Here is a 19,383-nt window from a genome sequence, read left to right on the forward strand (position 1 = left end):
TATAACATTTATTTTAGTGAACTTATAATGTTTCTTTGTATTAAATTATTAGATTATATCTTTAGATAATATTGTTACTAAATTAGTAGGTAATATATATTTTTATTCAAAAATAAATTGTGCATCTAATGTCTACCAATTAATGTACTTGTAGATGTATCTTATCTTAACTTGAGTCTTTGCTGCCCCTAATGAGGCGTGAAGGATTCTTCTCCCCTGGGGAAGTTTTTCTTTTTCAGGAGGGAGGAGGGCTTTCCCAGGTAATGTGTCTAGAGTGTTGGGCAGAAGAATCTGGGACCAAACCACACCAGTTCTCTCCTTAATCCACGTCATTTGCCTTCTATCCCAGCTATGTTTCCAGTGTCCTCTGGGTGTTTCCAAGAGCAACAAGAAACGAATAAATCTCTGGTGAGTTGTTTATTTGTTCTTCACTTTGTTTTACACTGTATTTTCTGAGTTTATGGGTGTCTGTGAATTAAAAAGGAAAAGTAGAAATAAGTAAAACTCAGGTTGAAGGAAATATACATAAATAAGATAAAGCTGACCTGTAAATATAGGCAGGTTATAAGAGCTTAGAGTTGTCTAAGTTGAGTGCAAATTTTCCTCTGATCTTTCTGATGCCGAGACAAAAAAGGCAGTCATGTTTGTTACGTGATTAGAATGGAACCCGAGAAGAGAGCATGCTTTGTTCTTGTGGGACAGGAAAGCTTGCGTGCACCAAGTCTGAACCACCACCTTCATTGGTGACATAGATTATGTGCTGGAACATATTTCACACCGGCCTGGCAGTAAACACTTGTAGTGTTGTGCAGTGGAAACGGTCATCTTCCGCTAAAGCACGGCGTGTTGTGCAGTGGAAATGGTCATCTGCCGCTAAAGCACAGCTTCCATCGTAATGTATGCTCCTTGCTCAAAGAGTGTGGTCCCAAACAGCCTTTGGGAGGTCCTGCTTGATTCATGGATGAAACCCGGAACATCTTGAGGACTGAGTTAACCAAAGGTCCTTAAATAACTCTCCACACTTTTTCTTAGTTTGTCTCTACATGCAGGATGTGCAGCAGCCTGTTCAAAGTCATATTTTCTGGGAAATATTTCCAGTGTTTATTTGCACTTTAGCCCACTCTGTGTAGCCTTATTTCTTCTAAACTCACCATTAACCTGAATAATTGTCAAATTTAGGGGGACTGTATTTGCCTTACTCGAGTCTTCTACCATAGTTGAAACTGTCCTACCCGAGTGAGTTAGAGAGAAATGCCACGCATTGAGACGAATTCAGGAGTCCTTTACTAGCCAGCGACTGAGACATGGCTAACGCACGAAATTATCTCGGCCCCAAAGAAGGGACAAGATTTTCTTTTATACTTTGGTTTAGAGAGGGGAGGGGGGATTCTAGCTGCAGCAACTTTACAGAAGAAAAAAAACAGACAAAAAACTTAGAAAGACAGATGGTTACAGGAAAACAAACTGTTCCTGGTGTAGGGGCTTTAAATTCACCACAAAGTGATAGGTGAGGGGGCTCTGGGCATTATCTGCCGGACAAATGTGGGGGCTTTATGATACTATCTCTGAGTAAATTGCTGGGAACGGGGGACATCTCTTGTCTCAGCACTTTATCAGTTAATTGCACGCTTTGATATGTTGAAAATCAGCTTGCACAAGTTAAAGTCCTTGAGGAAAGGGGGTGGGTAAGGAGCCCTTGATGTCTTGTTAATGAAGGAGCCAAATGGAGTTTGTCTGGTTTTCTCAGCTAAGGGAGAGTCTATTCATATTAAAAACAAGGTTAGCTGTCTAAGGAAGAGTCTATTCATGTTAATACAAGGTTGGGTATTACAAAACGTCTGTTCATGATCTGGAAATTCTTCTGTGTTAGTTCTGTTAAAAGAAAAACTTTAAAGGAGTTTAATTTAGCAATAAACGATTCATGAATCGGACAGTCCCCAGAATCACAGCAGATTCACAGAGACTCCAGTGCAGTCATGTGGTGGAAGAAGATTTATAGACAAAAGGGAAGTGGCATACCGAAATCGGAAGTGGGGTACAGAAACAACTCAGCATTTGCCTTGTTTGAACACATTTTGAACATTTGGCAGTGCCTGAGTGGTTGAAGTTTGGCCATTGGGATTGGCCAAGATGTAGCTGTTGTTCCAGTGCATACTCTTAAGTTAGTTTTTCATTCTTGTATACCTATTAAGGTAGGTTGCAGTTCATCCACAAGGACTCATATATAGAATTATAGAGTCCTTCTCAGGCCATACTTAGTTCACTTTAACAATGCCTTCCCTTTGGTTATTTTCTCAATTTTGAGAGATTGGCCAAAACTTCAGTCACTGGTGTCACTATTACCATTGCAAATGTACTTACTTGGTTTAGAAACCCACTGGGAAATAGACCAGTGAGATTTGAAAAGGTGGAACAAGGACTTGAGTAGAAGGTATCTTCTTATGCTGGAACATCCTGTTTACAGGAGAAAAACAAAACCTGGTTTGTTCTAGGATTTATGTGTTTCCCTAAAGTCTTAGTTTGATTATGTTACATTTAGCATGAGTGACTCCATTTTGGCTTGGTTTGGTTTGGTCTGTTGGGACCTATTGCATGAGCTTAGTTCAAAACAATGGCCTCCCATAATTTTGCTTAAAACATTCCTCCTTTTTGCTGGGTGTGGTGGCTCACACCTGTAATCCCAGCACTTTGGGAGGCTGAGGTGGGCAGATCACGAGGTCAGGAGATTGAGACCATCCTTGCTAATACGGTGAAACCCCATCTCTACTAAAAATACAAAAAATTAGCCAAGTGTGGTGGAGGGTGCCTGTAGTCCCAGCTACTCAGGAGGCTGAGGCAGGAGAATGGCCTGAATCCGGGAGGCAGAGCTTGCAGTGAGCCGAGATCATGCCACTGCACTCCACTCTGGGGGACAGACCAAAACTCTGTCTCAGAAAAAAAAAATCCTCCTTTTCAGTCAAGTTCTCACTTAGTTGAGAGTGTGACCAAAATGTAGGGCCTTAGCATCACTCTTAGTTACCATTGTTTTGGGTTCCAGTTTTAGCATGTCATTCCCATTGTTTTGGGTTTCTGGTTTAGCACTTCACTCCCATTGTTTTGGGTTCCGGTTTTAGCACGTCACTCCCATTGTTTTGGGTTCCAGTTTAGCACGTCACTCCCATTGTTTTGGGTTCTGGTTTAGCACGTCACTCCCATTGTTTTGGGTTCCGGTTTTAGCACTTCACTCCCATTGTTTTGGGTATCTGGTTTTAGCATGACACTCCCATTGTTTTGGGTATCTGATTTTAGCACCTCACTCCCATTGTTTTGGGTTCCCAGGTTTTAGCACGTCACTCCCATTGTTTTGGGTTTCTGTTTTATCATGTCACTCCCATTGTTTTGGGTTTCTGGTTTTAGTACTTCACTCTCATTGTTTTGGGTTTCTGGTTTAGCAGGACGCTCCCATTGTTTTGGGGTTCTGGTTTTACACATCACTCCCATTGTTTTGGGTTTCTGGTTTAGCAGGTCACTACCATTGTTTTGGGTTCCAGTTTAAGCACATCACTCCCATTGTTTTGGGTTCCGGTTTTAGCATGTCACTCCCATTGTTTTGGGTTCCGGTTTTAGCACGTCACTCCCATTGTTTTGGATTTCTGGTTTAGCAGGTCACTCCCACTGTTTTGGGTTCCGGTTTAAGCACATCATTCCCATTGTTTTCATTTCCGGTTTTAGCACGTCACTCCCATTGTTTTGGGTTCCAGTTTTAGCAAGTCACTCCCATTGTTTTAGGTTTCTGGTTTAGCAGGTCACTCCCATTGTTTTGGGTTCTGGTTTTAGCAGGTCACTCCCATTGTTTTGGGTTCTGGTTTTAGCACATCACTCCCATTGTTTTGGATTTCTGGTTTAGCAGGTCACTCCCACTGTTTTGGGTTCCGGTTTAAGCACATCACTACCATTGTTTTCGTTTCCGGTTTTAGCACGTCACTCCCATTGTTTTGGGTTCTGGTTTTAGCACATCACTCCCATTGTTTTGGATTTCTGGTTTAGCAGGTCACTCCCACTGTTTTGGGTTCCGGTTTAAGCACATCACTACCATTGTTTTCGTTTCCGGTTTCAGCACGTCACTCCCATTGTTTTGGGTTCCAGTTTTAGCAAGTCACTCCCATTGTTTTAGGTTTCTGGTTTAGCAGGTCACTCCCATTGTTTTCAGTTCCGGTTTAAGCACATCACTCCCGTTGTTTTGGGTTCCGGTTTTAGCACCTCACTCCCATTGTTTGGGTTTCTGGTTTCGCAGGTCACTCCCATTGTTTTGGGTTTCTGGTTTAGCATGTCACTCCCATTGTCTTGGGTTTCTGGTTTAGCATGTCACTCATAGGTTACGGTGTCCTTATGGTTGCACATTTTTTTTTTAATCTCTTGTCATTCCAGTTGAAGAGATACCATTTGACATTTTAGAGATGGCTGCATGCAAACTTTTAAAACATTTGAGTAAGTACAGTGCACCAGGGAGACTCTTATGACTATTGGGATAACACCAAGAATTTGGTATATGCTCCTTACTCAGGGTCCCCATAAATCAAACCACCTAAAATCAAATAGATTAAAGAATGAATTAGATAAAGAGTTTACTTGCTTAACTAAGTGGTTTTTTTGTTAATTCCCTACAACCAAATCTTTATAATACCCCATGTTTTCTCCACATGCTGTAAGTGTTAGCAGCTGCACAGATACTTAAGATAAGAGTCTCATGATAGTAGAGAAGTCTTGATCTGTGATCTTGGGAAAAGCTGTTAACATTAAGGATGTCATCTTCTTCTGGGGGGAACTGTCCTTGTTAGCTTTACCTTAAGGGTTCCAATGGGCATGTGGTTCCGAGTGTGGAGGGACCCTTCTGAGTTGTGAGACTATGAACCCAAAGTTTAAGGTTTTAAAGTTTTGCTGTCATGTGGATGGCGAGGGCAGTCCTTCTCTGATATTCTCAGAAGATCCAGTCATCAGATTCTAGATTTTGAAGGGTTTGACTGTCCTCAGTGAACCATAAAAGGCTTTCTTTACCTGGTGAAAATACACTTCAGGGTAATAATCTACTCTTTTAACATCAACTCTCTCACATGGAAGAGCTTTTATACAATCAGAAAACATGCACTGAAAATGAAAACTGAATGAAATCCCTTTATAAAATGTTTAAATGGCCCATCAGATAACCAAATGTACCTGAAGTTTTGATTGTTTTCCTAGGAATATAGGTTTCACAAACCAAACATTGGTTATAAACTATTTTAGCAGTTTAGAAATCACCACACCAATATATTTAATTTGGATCATTTTCTCTTTCCGTGATGAGTTATGGAATGCAGAACTTTTAATAACAAAAGATTTTAGGACTTAAGAAGGATAAGGTGGCCATCCTGGTTCTTCATAGGTCTGTGCTTAATTAACATCAGACTTACATCCTCTTGAATACCAGCTGTTTCTCCAAATTAGGTGCAAGGCACTGGTAACTGATGAGTAGTTATAGGTAATTTGATTTAGACCATGGAATTTATTTAAATTATATATCTAAACAATTTCAATATTGGTGATTTAGCATGCAAATGTGACAAAATATTTCCTTGGTATACAATTTTTGTTTTACTTGGGTTAGCAGTTTTACAAACCAGTTGGACTTTTTATTAAATTTTTGATATTTTTTTTTTTTTGAGACAGAGTCTCACTCTGTTACCTAGGTTGGAGTGCAGTGGCACAATCTTGGCTCACTGCAACCTCCGCCTCCTGGGTTCAAGCAATTCTCTTGCCTCAGCCTCCCGAGTAGCTGGGATTACAGGCACATACCACCACACCCAGCTAATTTTTGTATTTTTAGTAGAGGTGGCGTTTCACCTTTGGCCAGGCTGGTCTCAAACTCCTGACCTCAAGTGATCCGCCAGCCTTGGCCTCCTAAAGTGCTGGGATTGCCGACATGAGCCACTGCACCCAGCCTAACTGTTGAGAATTCTTAGCCAGTCTAATTCTTGGGGTATCGGGGAACTTATGGGGAATTTTTACCCATGATATTAAAGTTATTAGAAATCTGTGTTCACGAGTGTTTTTCAGGGTCCTTTTCATTCTTTCATGAATCTTCTAAGAGACACCATATTCTAGAATTTTGCATGCTTGTGAAGTTTTTAGAAACTGCATCACCATTAAGCAATTAACTGTGAAATGACTTTAGTTATAGTTAAAGACAATTGACAAGGAAATTTGGTTATTTCTGTGGTCTACAATAACTTAATAACCATAATTAGGGTGGATGTGGTGGCTCATGCCTGTAATCCCAGCACTTTGGGAGGCTGAGATGGAAGGATCATGAGGTCAGGAGATCGTGACCATCCTGGCTAACATGGTGAAATCCATCTTTACTAAAAATACAAAAATTAGCCTGGCATGGTGGTGGGTGCCTGTAGTTCCAGCTACTCGGGAGGTTGAGGCAGGAGAATGGCATGAACCCGGGAGGCGGAAGTTGCAGTGAGCCGAGATTGCACCACTGTACTCCAGCCTGGGTGACAGAGCAAGACTCCATCTCAGAAAAAAAAAATACAAGAATTTTAGAAATCCTATACAATTTTAGAATGGATTGATGACATACACTAAATATAACCTGAGGAAGGTTCCACATTATTTTTTGTTTTGACAGTGCGACCCATGTGACTTAACATGTTAAATAGTCCTGTTTACCTCTCTTTTGGGTGCTTCAGGGGTCTCTGTAGTATCCCAAAGTTAGAGGTCAGAAAAGACAATTTTGAAGTTGAAATTTGATTTTGGGAAGCCTATTAAATATATTAAAGGTTTAAACACTTGATGTTATGAAATAGAATTCCACATCACCGTAAGTCATTCATTTACCTAAAATCATGACTTAAAAAATTTTTATTTTTTATTTTTATTTTTTATTATACTTTTAGTTTTAGGGTACATGTGCACATTGTGCAGGTTAGTTACATATGTATACATGTGCCATGCTGGTGCGCTGCACCCACTAACTCGTCATCTAGCATTAGGTATATCTCCCAATGCTATCCCTCCCCCCTCCTTCCACACCACAACAGTCCCCAGAGTGTGATATTACCCTTCCTGTGTCCATGTGATCTCATTGTTCAATTCCCACCTATGAGTGAGAATATGCGGTGTTTGGTTTTACGTTCTTGTGATAGTTTACTGAGAAGGATGATTTCCAATTTCATCCATGTCCCTACAAAGGACATGAACTCATCATTTTTTATGGCTGCATAGTATTCCATGGTGTATATGTGCCACATTTTCTTAATCCAGTCTATCATTGTTGGACATTTGGGTTGGTTCCAAGTCTTTGCTATTGTGAATAATGCCACAATAAACATACGTGTGCATGTGTCTTTATAGCAGCATGATTTATAGTCCATTGGGTATATACCCAGTAATGGGATGGCTGGGTCAAATGGCATTTCCAGTTCTAGATCCCTGAGGAATCGCCACACTGACTTCCACAATGATTGAACTAGTTTACAGTCCCACCAACAGTGTAAAACTGTTCCTATTTCTCCACGTCCTCTCCAGCACCTGTTGTTTTCTGACTTTTTAATGATTGCCATTCTAACTGGTGTGAGATGGTATCTCATTGCGGTTTTGATTTGCATTTCTCTGATGGCCAGTGATGATGAGCAATTTTTCATGTGTTTTTTGGCTGCATAAATGTCTTCTTTTGAGAAGTGTCTGTTCATGTCCTTCACCCACTTTTTGATGGGGTTGTTTTTTTCTTGTAAATTTGTTTGAGTTCATTGTAGATTCTGGATATTAGCCCTTTGTCACATGAGTAGGTTGCGAAAATTTTCTGCCGTTTTTTAGGTTGCCTGTTCACTCTGATGGTAATTTCTTTTGCTGTGCAGAAGCTCTTTAGTTTAATTAGATCCCATTTGTCAATTTTGGCATTTGATGCCATTGCTTTTGGTGTTTTAGACATGAAGTCCTTGCCCATGCCTATGTCCTGAATGGTAATGCCTAGGTTTTCTTCTAGGGTTTTTATGGTTTTAGGTCTAACGTTTAAATCTTTAATCCATCTTGAATTGATTTTTGTATAAGGTGTAAGGAAGGGATCCAGTTTCAGCTTTCTACATATGGCTAGCCAGTTTTCCCAGCACCATTTATTAAATAGGGAATCCTTTCCCCATTGCTTGTTTTTCTCAGGTTTGTCAAAGATCAGATAGTTGTAGATATGCGGCGTTATTTCTGAGGGCTCTGTTCTGTTCCATTGATCTATATCTCTGTTTTGGTACCAGTACCATGCTGTTTTGGTTACTGTAGCCTTGTAGCATACTTTGAAGTCAGGTAGTGTGATGCCTCCAGCTTTGTCCTTTTGGCTTAGGATTGACTTGGCTATGCAGGCTCTTTTTTAGTTCCATATGAACTTTAAAGTAGTTTTTTCCAATTGTGTGAAGAAAGTCATTGGTAGCTTGATGGGGATGGCATGGAATCTGTACATTACTTTGGGCAGTATGGCCATTTTCAAGATATTGATTCTTCCTACCCATGAGCATGGAATGTTCTTCCATTTGTTTTTATCCTTTTTTATTTCCTTGAGCAGTGGTTTGTAGTTCTCCTTGAAGAGGTCCTTCACATCCCTTGTAAGTTGGATTCCTAGGTATTTTATTCTCTTTGAAGCAATTGTGAATGGGAGTTCACTCATGATTTGGCTCTCTGTTTGTCTGTTGTTGGTGTATAAGAATGCTTGTGATTTTTGTACATTGATTTTGTATCCTGAGACATTGCTGAAGTTGCTTATCAGCTTAAGGAGATTTTGGGCTGAGACAATGGGGTTTTCTAGATATACAATCATGTCATCTGCAAACAGGGACAATTTGACTTCCTCTTTTCCTAATTGAATACCCTTTATTTCCTTCTCCTGCCTAATTGCCCCTGCCAGAACTTCCAACACTATGTTGAATAGGAGTGGTGAGAGAGGCCATCCCTGTCTTGTGCCAGTTTTCAAAGGGAATGCTTCCAGTTTTTGCCCATTCAGTATGATATTGGCTGTGGGTTTGTCATAGATAGCTCTTATTATTTTGAAATACGTCCCATCAATACCTAATTTATTGAGAGTTTTTAGCATGAAGCATTGTTGAATTTTGTCAAAGGCCTTTTCTGCATCTATTGAGATAATCATGTGGTTTTTGTCTTTGGCTCTGTTTATATGCTGGATTACATTTATTGATGTGTGTATATTGAACCAGCCTTACATCCCAGGGATGAAGCCCACTTGATCATGGTGCATAAGCTTTTTGATGTGTTGCTGGATTCGTTTTGCCAGTATTTTATTGAGGATTTTTGCATCAATGTTCATGAAGTATATTGGTCTAAAATTCCTTTTTTGGTTGTGTCTCTGCCTGGCTTTGGTGTCAGAATGATGCTGGCCTCATAAAATGAGTTAGGGAGGATTCCCTCTTTTTCTGTTGATTGGAATAGTTTCAGAAGGAATGGTACCAGTTCCTCCTTGTACCTCTGGTAGAATTCGGCTGTGAATCCATCTGGTCCTGGACTCTTTTTGGTTGGTAAGCTATTGATTATTGCCACAATTTCGGCTTCTGTTATTGGTCTATTCAGAGATTCAACATCTTCCTGGTTTAGTCTTGGGAGAGTGTATGTGTCGAGGAATTTATCCATTTCTTCTAGATTTTCTAGTTTATTTACGTAGAGGTGTTTGTAGTATTCTCTGATGGTAGTTAGTATTTCTCTGGGATTGGTGGTGATATCCCCTTTATCATTTTTATTGCGTCTATTTGATTCTTCTCTCTTTTTTTCTTTATTAGTCTTGCTAGAGGTCTATCAATTTTTCTGATCCTTTCAAAAAACCAGCTCCTGGATTCATTAATTTTTTGAAGGGATTTTGTATCTCTATTTCCTTCAGTTCTGCTCTGATTTTAGTTATTTCTTGCCTTCTGCTAGCTTTTGAATGTGTTTGCTCTTGCTTTTCTAGTTCTTTCAATTGTGATGTTAGGGTGTCAATTTTGGATCTTTCCTGTTTTCCCTTGTGAGCATTTAGTGTTATAAATTTCCCTCTACACAGTGCTTTGAATGTGTCCCAGAGATTCTGGTATGTTGTGTCTTTGTTCTCGTTGGTTTGAAAGAACATCTTTATTTCTGCCTTCATTTCCTTATGTACCCAGTAGTCATTCAGGAGCAGGTTGTTCAGTTTCCATGTAGTTGAGCAGTTTTGGGTGAGATTCTTAATCCTGAGTTCTAGTTTGATTGCACTATGGTCTGAGAGATAGTTTCTTATAATTTCTGTTCTTTTACTTTTGCTGAGGAGAACTTTACTTCCAAGTATGTGGTCAATTTTGGAATAGGTGTGATGTGGTGCTGAAAACATGTATATTCTGTTGATTTGGGGTGGAGAGTTCTGGAGATGTCTGTTAGGTCCTCTTGGTGCAGAGCTGAGTTCAATTCCTGGGTATGCTTGTTGACTTCCTGTCTTGTTGATCTGTCTAATGTTGACAGTGGAGTGTTAAAGTCTCCCATTATTAATGCATGGGAGTCTAAGTCTCTTTGTAGGTCACTCAGGACTTGCTTTATGAATCTGGGTGCTCCTGTGTTGGGCGCATATATATTTAGGATAGTTAGCTCTTCTTGTTGAATTGATCCCTTTACCATTATGTAATGGCCTTCTTTGTCTCTTTTGATCTTTGTTGGTTTAAAGTCTGTTTTATCAGAGACTAGGATTACAACCCCTGCCTTTTTTTGTTTTCCATTTGCTTGGTAGATCTTCCTCCATCCTTTTATTTTGAACCTATGTGTGTCTCTGCACGTGAGATGAGTTTCCTGAATACAGCACACTGATGGTTCTTGACTCTTTATCCAATTTGCCAGTCTGTGTCTTTTAATTGGAACATTTAGACCATTTACATTTAAAGATAATATTGTTATGTGTGAATTTGATCCTGTCATTATGATGTTAGCTGGTTATTTTGCTAGTTAGTTAATGCAGTTTCTTCCTAGTCTCGACGGTGTTTACATTTTGGCATGATTTTGCAGCGGCTGGTATCGGTTGTTCCTTTCCATGTTTAGTGCTTCCTTCAGGAGCTCTTGTAAGGCAGGCCTGGTGGTGACAAAATCTCTCAGCATTTGCTTGTCTGTAAAGTATTTTATTTCTCCTTCACTTATGAAGCTTAGTTTGGCTGGATATGAAATTCTGGGTTGAAAATTCTTTTCTTTAAGAATGTTGAATATTGGCCCCCACTCTCTTCTGGCTTGTAGGGTTTCTGCCGAGAGATCCGCTGTTAGTCTGATGGGCTTCCCTTTGAGGGTAACCCGACCTTTCTGGCTGCTCTCTACATTTTTCCCTTCATTTCAACTTTGGTGAATCTGACAATTATGTGTCTTGGAGTTGCTCTTCTCGAGGAGTATCTTTGTGTCATTCTCTGTATTTTCTGAATCTGAATGTTGGCCTGCCTTGCTAGATTGGGGAAGTTCTCCTGGATAATATCCAGCAGTGTTTTCCAACTTGGTTCCATTCTCCCTATCACTTTCAGGTACACCAATCAGATGTAGATTTGGTCTTTTCACATAGTCCCATATTTCTTGGAGGCTTTGCTCATTTATTTTTATTCTTTTTTCTCTAAACTTCCCTTCTCACTTCATTTCATTCATTTCATCTTCCATTGCTGATACCCTTTCTTCCAGTTGATCGCATCAGCTCCTGAGGCTTCTGCATTCTTCACGTAGTTCTCGAGCCTTCGTTTTCAGCTCCATCAGCTCCTTTAAGAACTTCTCTCTATTGGTTATTCTAGTTAAACATTCTTCTAAATTTTTTTCAAAGTTTTCAACTTTGCCTTTGGTTTGAATGTCCTCCCGTAGCTCAGAGTAATTTGATCGTCTGAAGCCTTCTTCTCTCAGCTCGTCAAAGTCATTCTCCATCCAGCTTTGTTCCGTTGCTGTTGAGGAACTGCATTCCTTTGGAGGAGGAGAGGCGCTCTGCTTTTTAGAGTTTCCAGTTTTTCTGTTCTGTTTTTTCCCCATCTTTGTGGTTTTATCTACGTTTGGTCTTTGATGATGGTGATGTACACATGGGTTTTTGGTGTGGATGTCCTTTCTGTTTGTTAGTTTTCCTTCTAACAGACAGTACCCTCAGCTTCAGGTCTGTTGGAGTTTTCTAGAGGCCCATTCCCGACCCTGTTTGCCTGGGTATCAGCAGTGGTGTCTGCAAAACCATGGATTTTCGTGATCCGCGAATGCTGCTGTCTGATCGTTCCTCTGGAAATTTTGTCTCAGAGGAGTACCTGGTCGTGTGAGGTGTCAGTCTGCCCCTGCTAGGGGGCGCCTCCCAGTTAGGCTGCTCGGGGGTCAGGGGTCAGGGACCCACTTCAGGAGGCAGTCTGCCCATTCTCAGATCTCCAGCTGCATGCTGGGAGAACCACTGCTCTCCTCAAAGCTGTCAGAGAGGGACATTTAAGTCTGCAGAGGTTACTGCTGTATTTTTGTTTGTCTGTGTCCTGCCCCCAGAGGTGGAGCCTACAGAGGCAGGCAGGCCTCCTTGAGCTGTGGTGGGCTCCACCCAGTTCGAGCTTCCAGGCTGCTTTGTTTACCTAAGAGAGCCTGGGCAATGGCCGGTTCCCCTCCCCCAGCCTCGCTGCTGCCTTGCAGTTTGATCTCAGACTGCTGTGTTAGCAATCAGCGAGACTCCGTGGGCCTAGGACCCTCCGAGCCAGGTGCCGGATATAATCTCATGGTGCGCCGTTTCCTAAGCCCGTCAGAAAAGCTCAGTATTAGGGTGGCAGTTGCCCGATTTTCCAGGTGCCATCTGTCACCCCTTTCCTTGACCAGGAAAGGGAACTAACTCCCTGACCCCTTGCGCTTCCCGAGTGAGGCAATGCCTCGCCCTGCTTCGGCTAGTGCACAGTGCACTTCACCCACTGTCCTGCACCCACTGTCTGGCACTCCCTAGTGAGATGAACCCAGTACCTCAAACGGAAATGCAGAAATCACCCATCTTCTGCATCGCTCATGCTGGGAGCTGTAGACCGGAGCTGTTCCTATTCGGCCATCTTGGCTCCTCCTCCCATTATTTTTTAATATTTTCTGAAAATCTTCTTTAAAGAGAGAAAGCCAAATGTCACCCACTTTTTCATAAAACCTTATAGGCAAATCTATTATTCTTTTCTTTTTTGAGATGGATTTTCCCTCTTGTTGCCCAGGCTGGAATGCAATGGTGCGATCTCAGTTTACTGCAACCCCCTGCCTCCCAGGTTCAAGCGATTCTCCCGCCCCAGCCTCCTGAGTAGCTGGGATTAGAGGCATGCCCCACCATGTCCAGCTAATTTTGCGTTTTTAGTACAGACGGGTTTTTCCTTGTTGGTCAGGCTGGCCTTGAACTCCTGACCTCATGTGATCCACCTGCCTCGGCCTCCCCAAGTGTTGGGATTACAGCCATGAGCCACTGCCGCAGGCCATTTTTTTTTTAAAGATAGCGTCTTGCTCTGTCACCCTTCTCACCACATTATAGCTCTGGGGGCCAAGCTGCATCACAATGGAAATCATGGAGCCACAGGAAGAATCCACTCAGCTTTGCAAGATGCTGCCCAAGGGGTTGCTTGGAGTAACCAAATTAACATTTTTCATTCTGCTCAGAGCAAAATATATGTGACAAAACATAGACACGAGCCACTTTGCTTACCACCCAGTGTCAAACTGGTAAGACTCAAACTTGCTCCCAGATAGGCTGTGCCATCTCTAAATCTTTTTAGAAGCTTCTGCATGTTAATAGGCATCCCTAGATGAGACTAATTTGGGAGCCCTCATTTTTAAATGCACTTCAGGGCATTATTCATTTGGAATGTTCCACTATAAGTTATCTTTAGTAAGATTTTGCCATTTCTGTAAGACTTTGCTGCTTCCCAGGCCTAATGAATTAGCCAGGAAGAACTTAGTTTTCCGGAAATTAAGGATCCTATTTTTACCTAATATATTGGCTTTACTCCCAGGTTCCCTTGATTGACTTAGCCAATGATTTTTTTTCCTACCTAAACATGTGAGGAAAATGAAACAAAGGGGCAGAACACAAAAATCCCCGTGAATTTCCAAAAGCCAAATTTTACAATCCTCCAATATTATCATTTACTACCACTTTCCTTCTGACCCATTCAGATGTAGGAGGCCTCTAACTGGAACTGGATTCAAGCCAGTTAACTACTGGATCAAATCTGATCCTGGACCCGGTCCCATTTCTGTCATAACTTCTAAAACATCCAGCCAGTCATGGCTGGATAGCAGTTTGGAACAGAAATTTGCTCAGAGAAACTCAGCTCAAAACACAAATCCATGGAGCTCTGAAATCCGAGAGAGAATTTACCACGATCCCCAGATGCTCTGAGAGGTCAAAGGGCACAAGTGTTACAGAATCCTGAGGCGTCACTTTTCTGCCTGAAACCTCTGGCTGGTGGCACCTTTACCTGTGTTTTGCTCGGGCCCACTGTGTTCGTTCTGTCCACTCGGCTCATGCTAGTGGTCTGGATCCCACACCTGCCAAGGGTGAGCTGGGTACAGAGCAGTGAAGGGGGTGTGAGCATGTGAGCATGGGATCTGGCCACTGCACACAGCCAAGCATGCCAGCTGCAGTGGGGTGGGCAGCTCCAGGTACCGGCACAGGTGCCAGCTCCCTGTGAGGCTGCAGCTGGACCAGACTGACTGCAAACAGCTTCCACTGTGGGTATCAGGGAATGCAGTGGTGCCTGGAAGCTTGGAGATGCAGGAACTGCAGAGCCCCAAATAAGGTGTCACAGCCCTGGCTTGGGGAGCTCCTAGGTCTGGGCTCCCTGAAGGGCCAAAGCTCTTGTCTCCTTCTCTCTTCTCTTCTTCTTGCCTGCAATTTGGCAAGCAAGGGGTGCGTTTCAGCCCTGTTTATGTTACATCTCTTTCAGCCCTGCTAGTTGGCAGGTCCCAAGTTCTTGTCCTGAGTCCAGGAAGAATGAGGTATGTGGGCAAGTAGAAGGTGAGCAAGGTGAAGAGGTGCTTTATTGAGCAACAGTACAGCTCAGAGGAGACGTGCAGTGGGTAGCTCCTTTCTGCAGGCAGGTCATCCCAACGTCTGTTCAGCTCTCAGCAGCTGAGAGAGATGCATGGTGGTTAGCTATGCCCACAGTGCCCAGGCTTTTCGAGCAGAGGAGTGCCTTCAGGCCAGTGCTGAGCCACTCTTAGCCTCACTTCAATGTCCCTCCTGTGCTCATCAGTTCCCAAAGTGTGGAGAGGGCCGAGGTGGCAGGGGGCTGGCATGTCAGCACTGCCCTGAGCTTGCACAAACTGGGCTGGGTTGCAACTGTGCCTGGGTTCAACCTCAACTTGGATCCGAAGTTGGAGTGGGCTCTCGGAGCGGAGAGATGCCAGGTGGTAGGAGCAGGTATGACTGGACCTGCAGGGGCAGGGGGGCTTGCTGGGCCTCTGAGAGTGCAAAGATGCCTGGGTTTGCTGTCATGGGTGGATGGCTGCAGCTGTGCCTGGGAGGGTGGGGCTCCTGCTTGCCAATTTAGAAGGGCTGGGTCTCCCACCCGTTCCTGGCTCCCACTAACTTTGAGGAGTGCACAGCCCCAGCCACTCCTCCCCACTGCAGCCAGTGTCTCCGTAGCAACTGCTCCACATGGGCCACTGTTGCCATCATAGAGCGGTCCTTGCAGGTGCCTTTCTTGTACCTCAGCACTCCTGGGGGTCATTAGAAGCCCTAGCAACACTGCTCACCACACTATAGCTCCGGAGGCCCTAGCAGTCCTGCTCCCACAGATCCCACTTCTGACACCATCTATTAAAAGAAAATCTTCAGCTGAATTAAATTTAAAGAAACTTAATTGAGCAATGAATGATTCACGAATCAGGCAGCCCCCAGAATCACAGCAGATTTGGTGAGACTCCAGCACAGCTACATGGTGGAAGATTTATAGAGAATAAAGGGAACGTGATGTACAGAAATCTGAAGTGAGGAGTGAGGTCCAGAAGCAACTGGGTCCCTTACCGTTCTCAGCAGTGAGGTCCAGAAACAACTGGACTGGTTACAGTGCTCAGCATTTGCCTTATTTGAACACAGCTGAACACTCAGCAGTGTGTGAGTGGCAGAAGTTTGGCTGTTGGGATTGGCCAGGACTCAGCTATAGTTACAGGTGCATACTCCAAAGTTAGGTTATCAGTCTTTCTACCTATTAAGTTAGGTTGCAGTTTGTCCACAGGGACTCAAATCTAGAAGTACAGAGTCCTTCCCAGGCCATATTTAGTTCACTGTAACAGTTCCTATTATGACCTCACTGACAGTTCTTTTTCTCTGAATTTTCCTTTCTTCTCAACAGCTTGTCCAAATGTTCCATTGGTCCCTGTTCATCCCGCCCTGCAGCTCTCCTTGACTGATTCTGCCCTTTGTGGTTTGCAGTCCTGTTTCTCTACAGCTTGGACCCCTTCAGTCTTTCCATCATAGGTTTAACTCTCTGTTGAATGCTTCTTTGTAGCTACGCAAAAGTTACCTTAAGCTCAAAAAATTCAAAGTGAAAGCCACATCCTCCTCTCTTCCCTTATGTGTATGGTATTACTACCATGCAGCCAGTGACCCAAAATGGGATTTCTTCTGGGCTTTTCTTGCTTAGATTCAGGCTCATCTGGTGTCAAGCCTTGTTACTTTTGTTTCCTTGTTCTTTTATTTTTAATTTTTTTTCTTTTGAGACAGAGTTTCGTTCTTGTTGCCCAGGCTAGAGCGCAGTGGTGTGATCCCGGCTCACTGCAGCCTCCACCTCCCGGGTTCAAGCAATTCTCCTGCCTCAGTTCCTGAGTAGCTGGTATTACAGGCATTTGCCACCACGCCTGGCTAATTTTGTATTTTCAGTAGAGATGGGGTTTCTCTGTTTTGATCAGGGTGGTCTCGAGCTCCCAACCTGAAGTGATCCACCCGCCTCGGCCTCCCAAAGTGCTGGGATTACAGGCATGAGCCACCGTGCCTGGCCTGCTTGTTGTTTTCATCTCATCCTGATTTCTGAATACAGGAGAGGAGCTGAGTTGGTGTTCACTAACAAGCACAGAAGCTTTGTTACATTTACAGTGTCATTCTTGGCAAAACCTGAATGGTATGTTTGTGGGGTGATGAGGTTCAGTCCCCTGTGACCTGTGTATCTGGCCAACACTGTGGTGACATCCTTAGGAATCCATGGGGAGAGACAAAGCATTCAGGAGTTAGTGGGTCACATTTGACAAGGGCCAATAAAGAAATATGCAAAGACAAAAAACAAGAAGAACATTGTCATATTTTATACCTTTTGTTTATATAAATTTATGTCAATGATTCTAGCTTAATGTTAATATGCAATGTATACAATATGCTAACATATACAATATATGTTTATAGTTTAAACATTTCTGTCATGTTTTCAGATTCTTTAAAGATTATATTACACTTCCTATTTCAGATAGCTGTTTAAAATGAGTAAGGAAAAACGGATGTGTGCATCAGTTCTAACTGTTTATGGACTAAAACTAGTTGATTACTTGGTTAAGAACAAAAAGTGACAACCTAATTAACTGAAAATTTTAAGTAGGCAATTATGGTTTTAGCTTTAATGTAAAATATTAACTATGCTCCATTCTTGCATTTTTAACCTAATACTCAATATAAATCGCCACATGCCATGTTTCAGATCAAGGTTCTACTTGTGATCTCTCATGAGTTTTTCAAGGTTTTAATTATCTGAGATATAACAATGTACCCGTAACCTTACTGGCTTAAACCAGGAATTTATTCTTTTTACATGTCACAATTTTCTGGGTCAAGACACTGGACAGGGCTGTGTTGGTTGGTTGCTTCATGATGTCCCTGGTCTCATCTGGAAGGACTCTAGTGGCTGGGGACATGGAGCAGGCACCCAGCCCTCTCTTTGTGGCCAGCACGGACTTCCTCCCAGTCTGGCAGCATCAGGTAGTCAGGTTTGTCTGGCTTCTCCCAGGGTGTGTGTCCAAGAGGCCCAGGCAGAAGCTGTAAGGCCTCTCATGATTGCCCCTCAGAAGTCCCAGAGCATCTCTCCTGCCACACTGTCCAGTCGTACTCATCACTGAGACAAGCCATGATTCAAGGGGGGACGATGATTAGATTCCACCTCTTGATGAGAAGCATAGTAGGAACCTGCAGCAGTCTTTAATAAACCACAGCGTGTCTTCTGGCCACAAACTATTAACGTTTCTCCCACATGCAAATTATGCTTTGCCCCTCTCAAGAGCCCCAGAATGGTTTTCCTTATGGCACTGGCTAGTAGCCCAACTGAATCCTGAATCAGGTTGTGGTGGCTTGTCATCTGCACCCACACACACTCAGCAGCAGTGAGGACTGAAGCAGGTTGTGGTGGCCTGTCATCTGCCCCCCCACACACAGCCACAGTGAGGACTGAATCAGGTTGTGGTGGCCTGTCATCTGACCCCCCACTCTCAGCCACAGTGGGGACTGAATCAGGTTGTTGTGAGCTATCATCTGAGCCCACAAACTCAGCCGCAGTGAGGGGACTGCTGTGAAAACAGTCGACATTTCCCTTTAGAAGCTTTGGTGGGAGGCAAGAGGGAAGTGCTGCCCTGCAGGCCTCGTCTAAGAGTTGGTCATTCCCATGGGGGGCCTGTTACAGTTCTGTGATTAGTGCCCAGTCCTGGTCCCTGAGAACGGCACCCAGTCCCGGTCCCTGAGAATGGTGTTTGTGTCCTTTTACTCCTCCCTCTGGGCTTTTGTCATTCTCCATGTTCTTTTTGCTTCAGTGCCTGGGTTGCCGTTGACCAACTTTCCCTGCCTTTTTCTTAGGGTCAATAGGGTATTCAATGGCTTCTTTTTCATTTTTTTTTTTCTTTTCTTTTCTTTTTTTTTTACTTTGGCCTTTTGAGACAAGAAATTATTTCTTTATATTTTCTCTAAATTCTGTTTGAAAGCTGAACCTTCTTCTTTAGATCATGTACCTCTCCTGTCATATTTATTCAGTGACAGTTAGGGGAGGCTGGTAGCACTTTCCATGTTCTTCCCAGATGTCTCCTTAGGCAGATCCCTGAGATGGTGCAGTGCCCTTTCAGTTTCCATGTTGTGGCCATAGTTTTCCCACAGTCCCTCAGCACGTAACTCTCAGGCCTTTTCTCCAGTTTCCAATGACATTTTCTCACCGTCCTTCAGGCCCTGACCAAGAGTCTTGATGCCCTTCCAGGTTGCATGAATGGTCTCCTTGAGGCCCAGTTACAGGTCAGCCTCACAGTCGTGTCACATATTGTAGCTTCTGATTACCACAGCAGCTCATTTCCAGCTGCCATATTCTGTTCCAGTTATCTATTCTGAAGTAAAACAACTCATTATTACTTGTTTTTTGGCTTAGAGAGTCTTGGTGGTCAGCTCATCTCACACACAGTTGCAGCCAA

The 19,383-nt window shown here is 43.0% G+C and overlaps 1 long non-coding RNA gene across 1 annotated transcript in view; it reads left to right on the plus strand.

Annotated features, from left to right (window-relative positions):
* The first annotated feature begins 336 nt into the window (after positions 1-336).
* The window catches only part of LOC105379854 (uncharacterized), a 71,606-nt gene continuing 52,559 nt past the window's right edge, over positions 337-19,383 (plus strand). Inside the window, exon 1 of the long non-coding RNA XR_001756120.3 lies at positions 337-408. This is a non-coding gene — a long non-coding RNA (uncharacterized LOC105379854). The remainder of the gene's footprint in view (positions 409-19,383) is intronic.

Source organism: Homo sapiens (assembly GCF_000001405.40).
Source record: "Homo sapiens chromosome 1 unlocalized genomic scaffold, GRCh38.p14 Primary Assembly HSCHR1_CTG1_UNLOCALIZED".
Classification (NCBI taxonomy): Eukaryota; Metazoa; Chordata; class Mammalia; order Primates; family Hominidae; genus Homo; species Homo sapiens.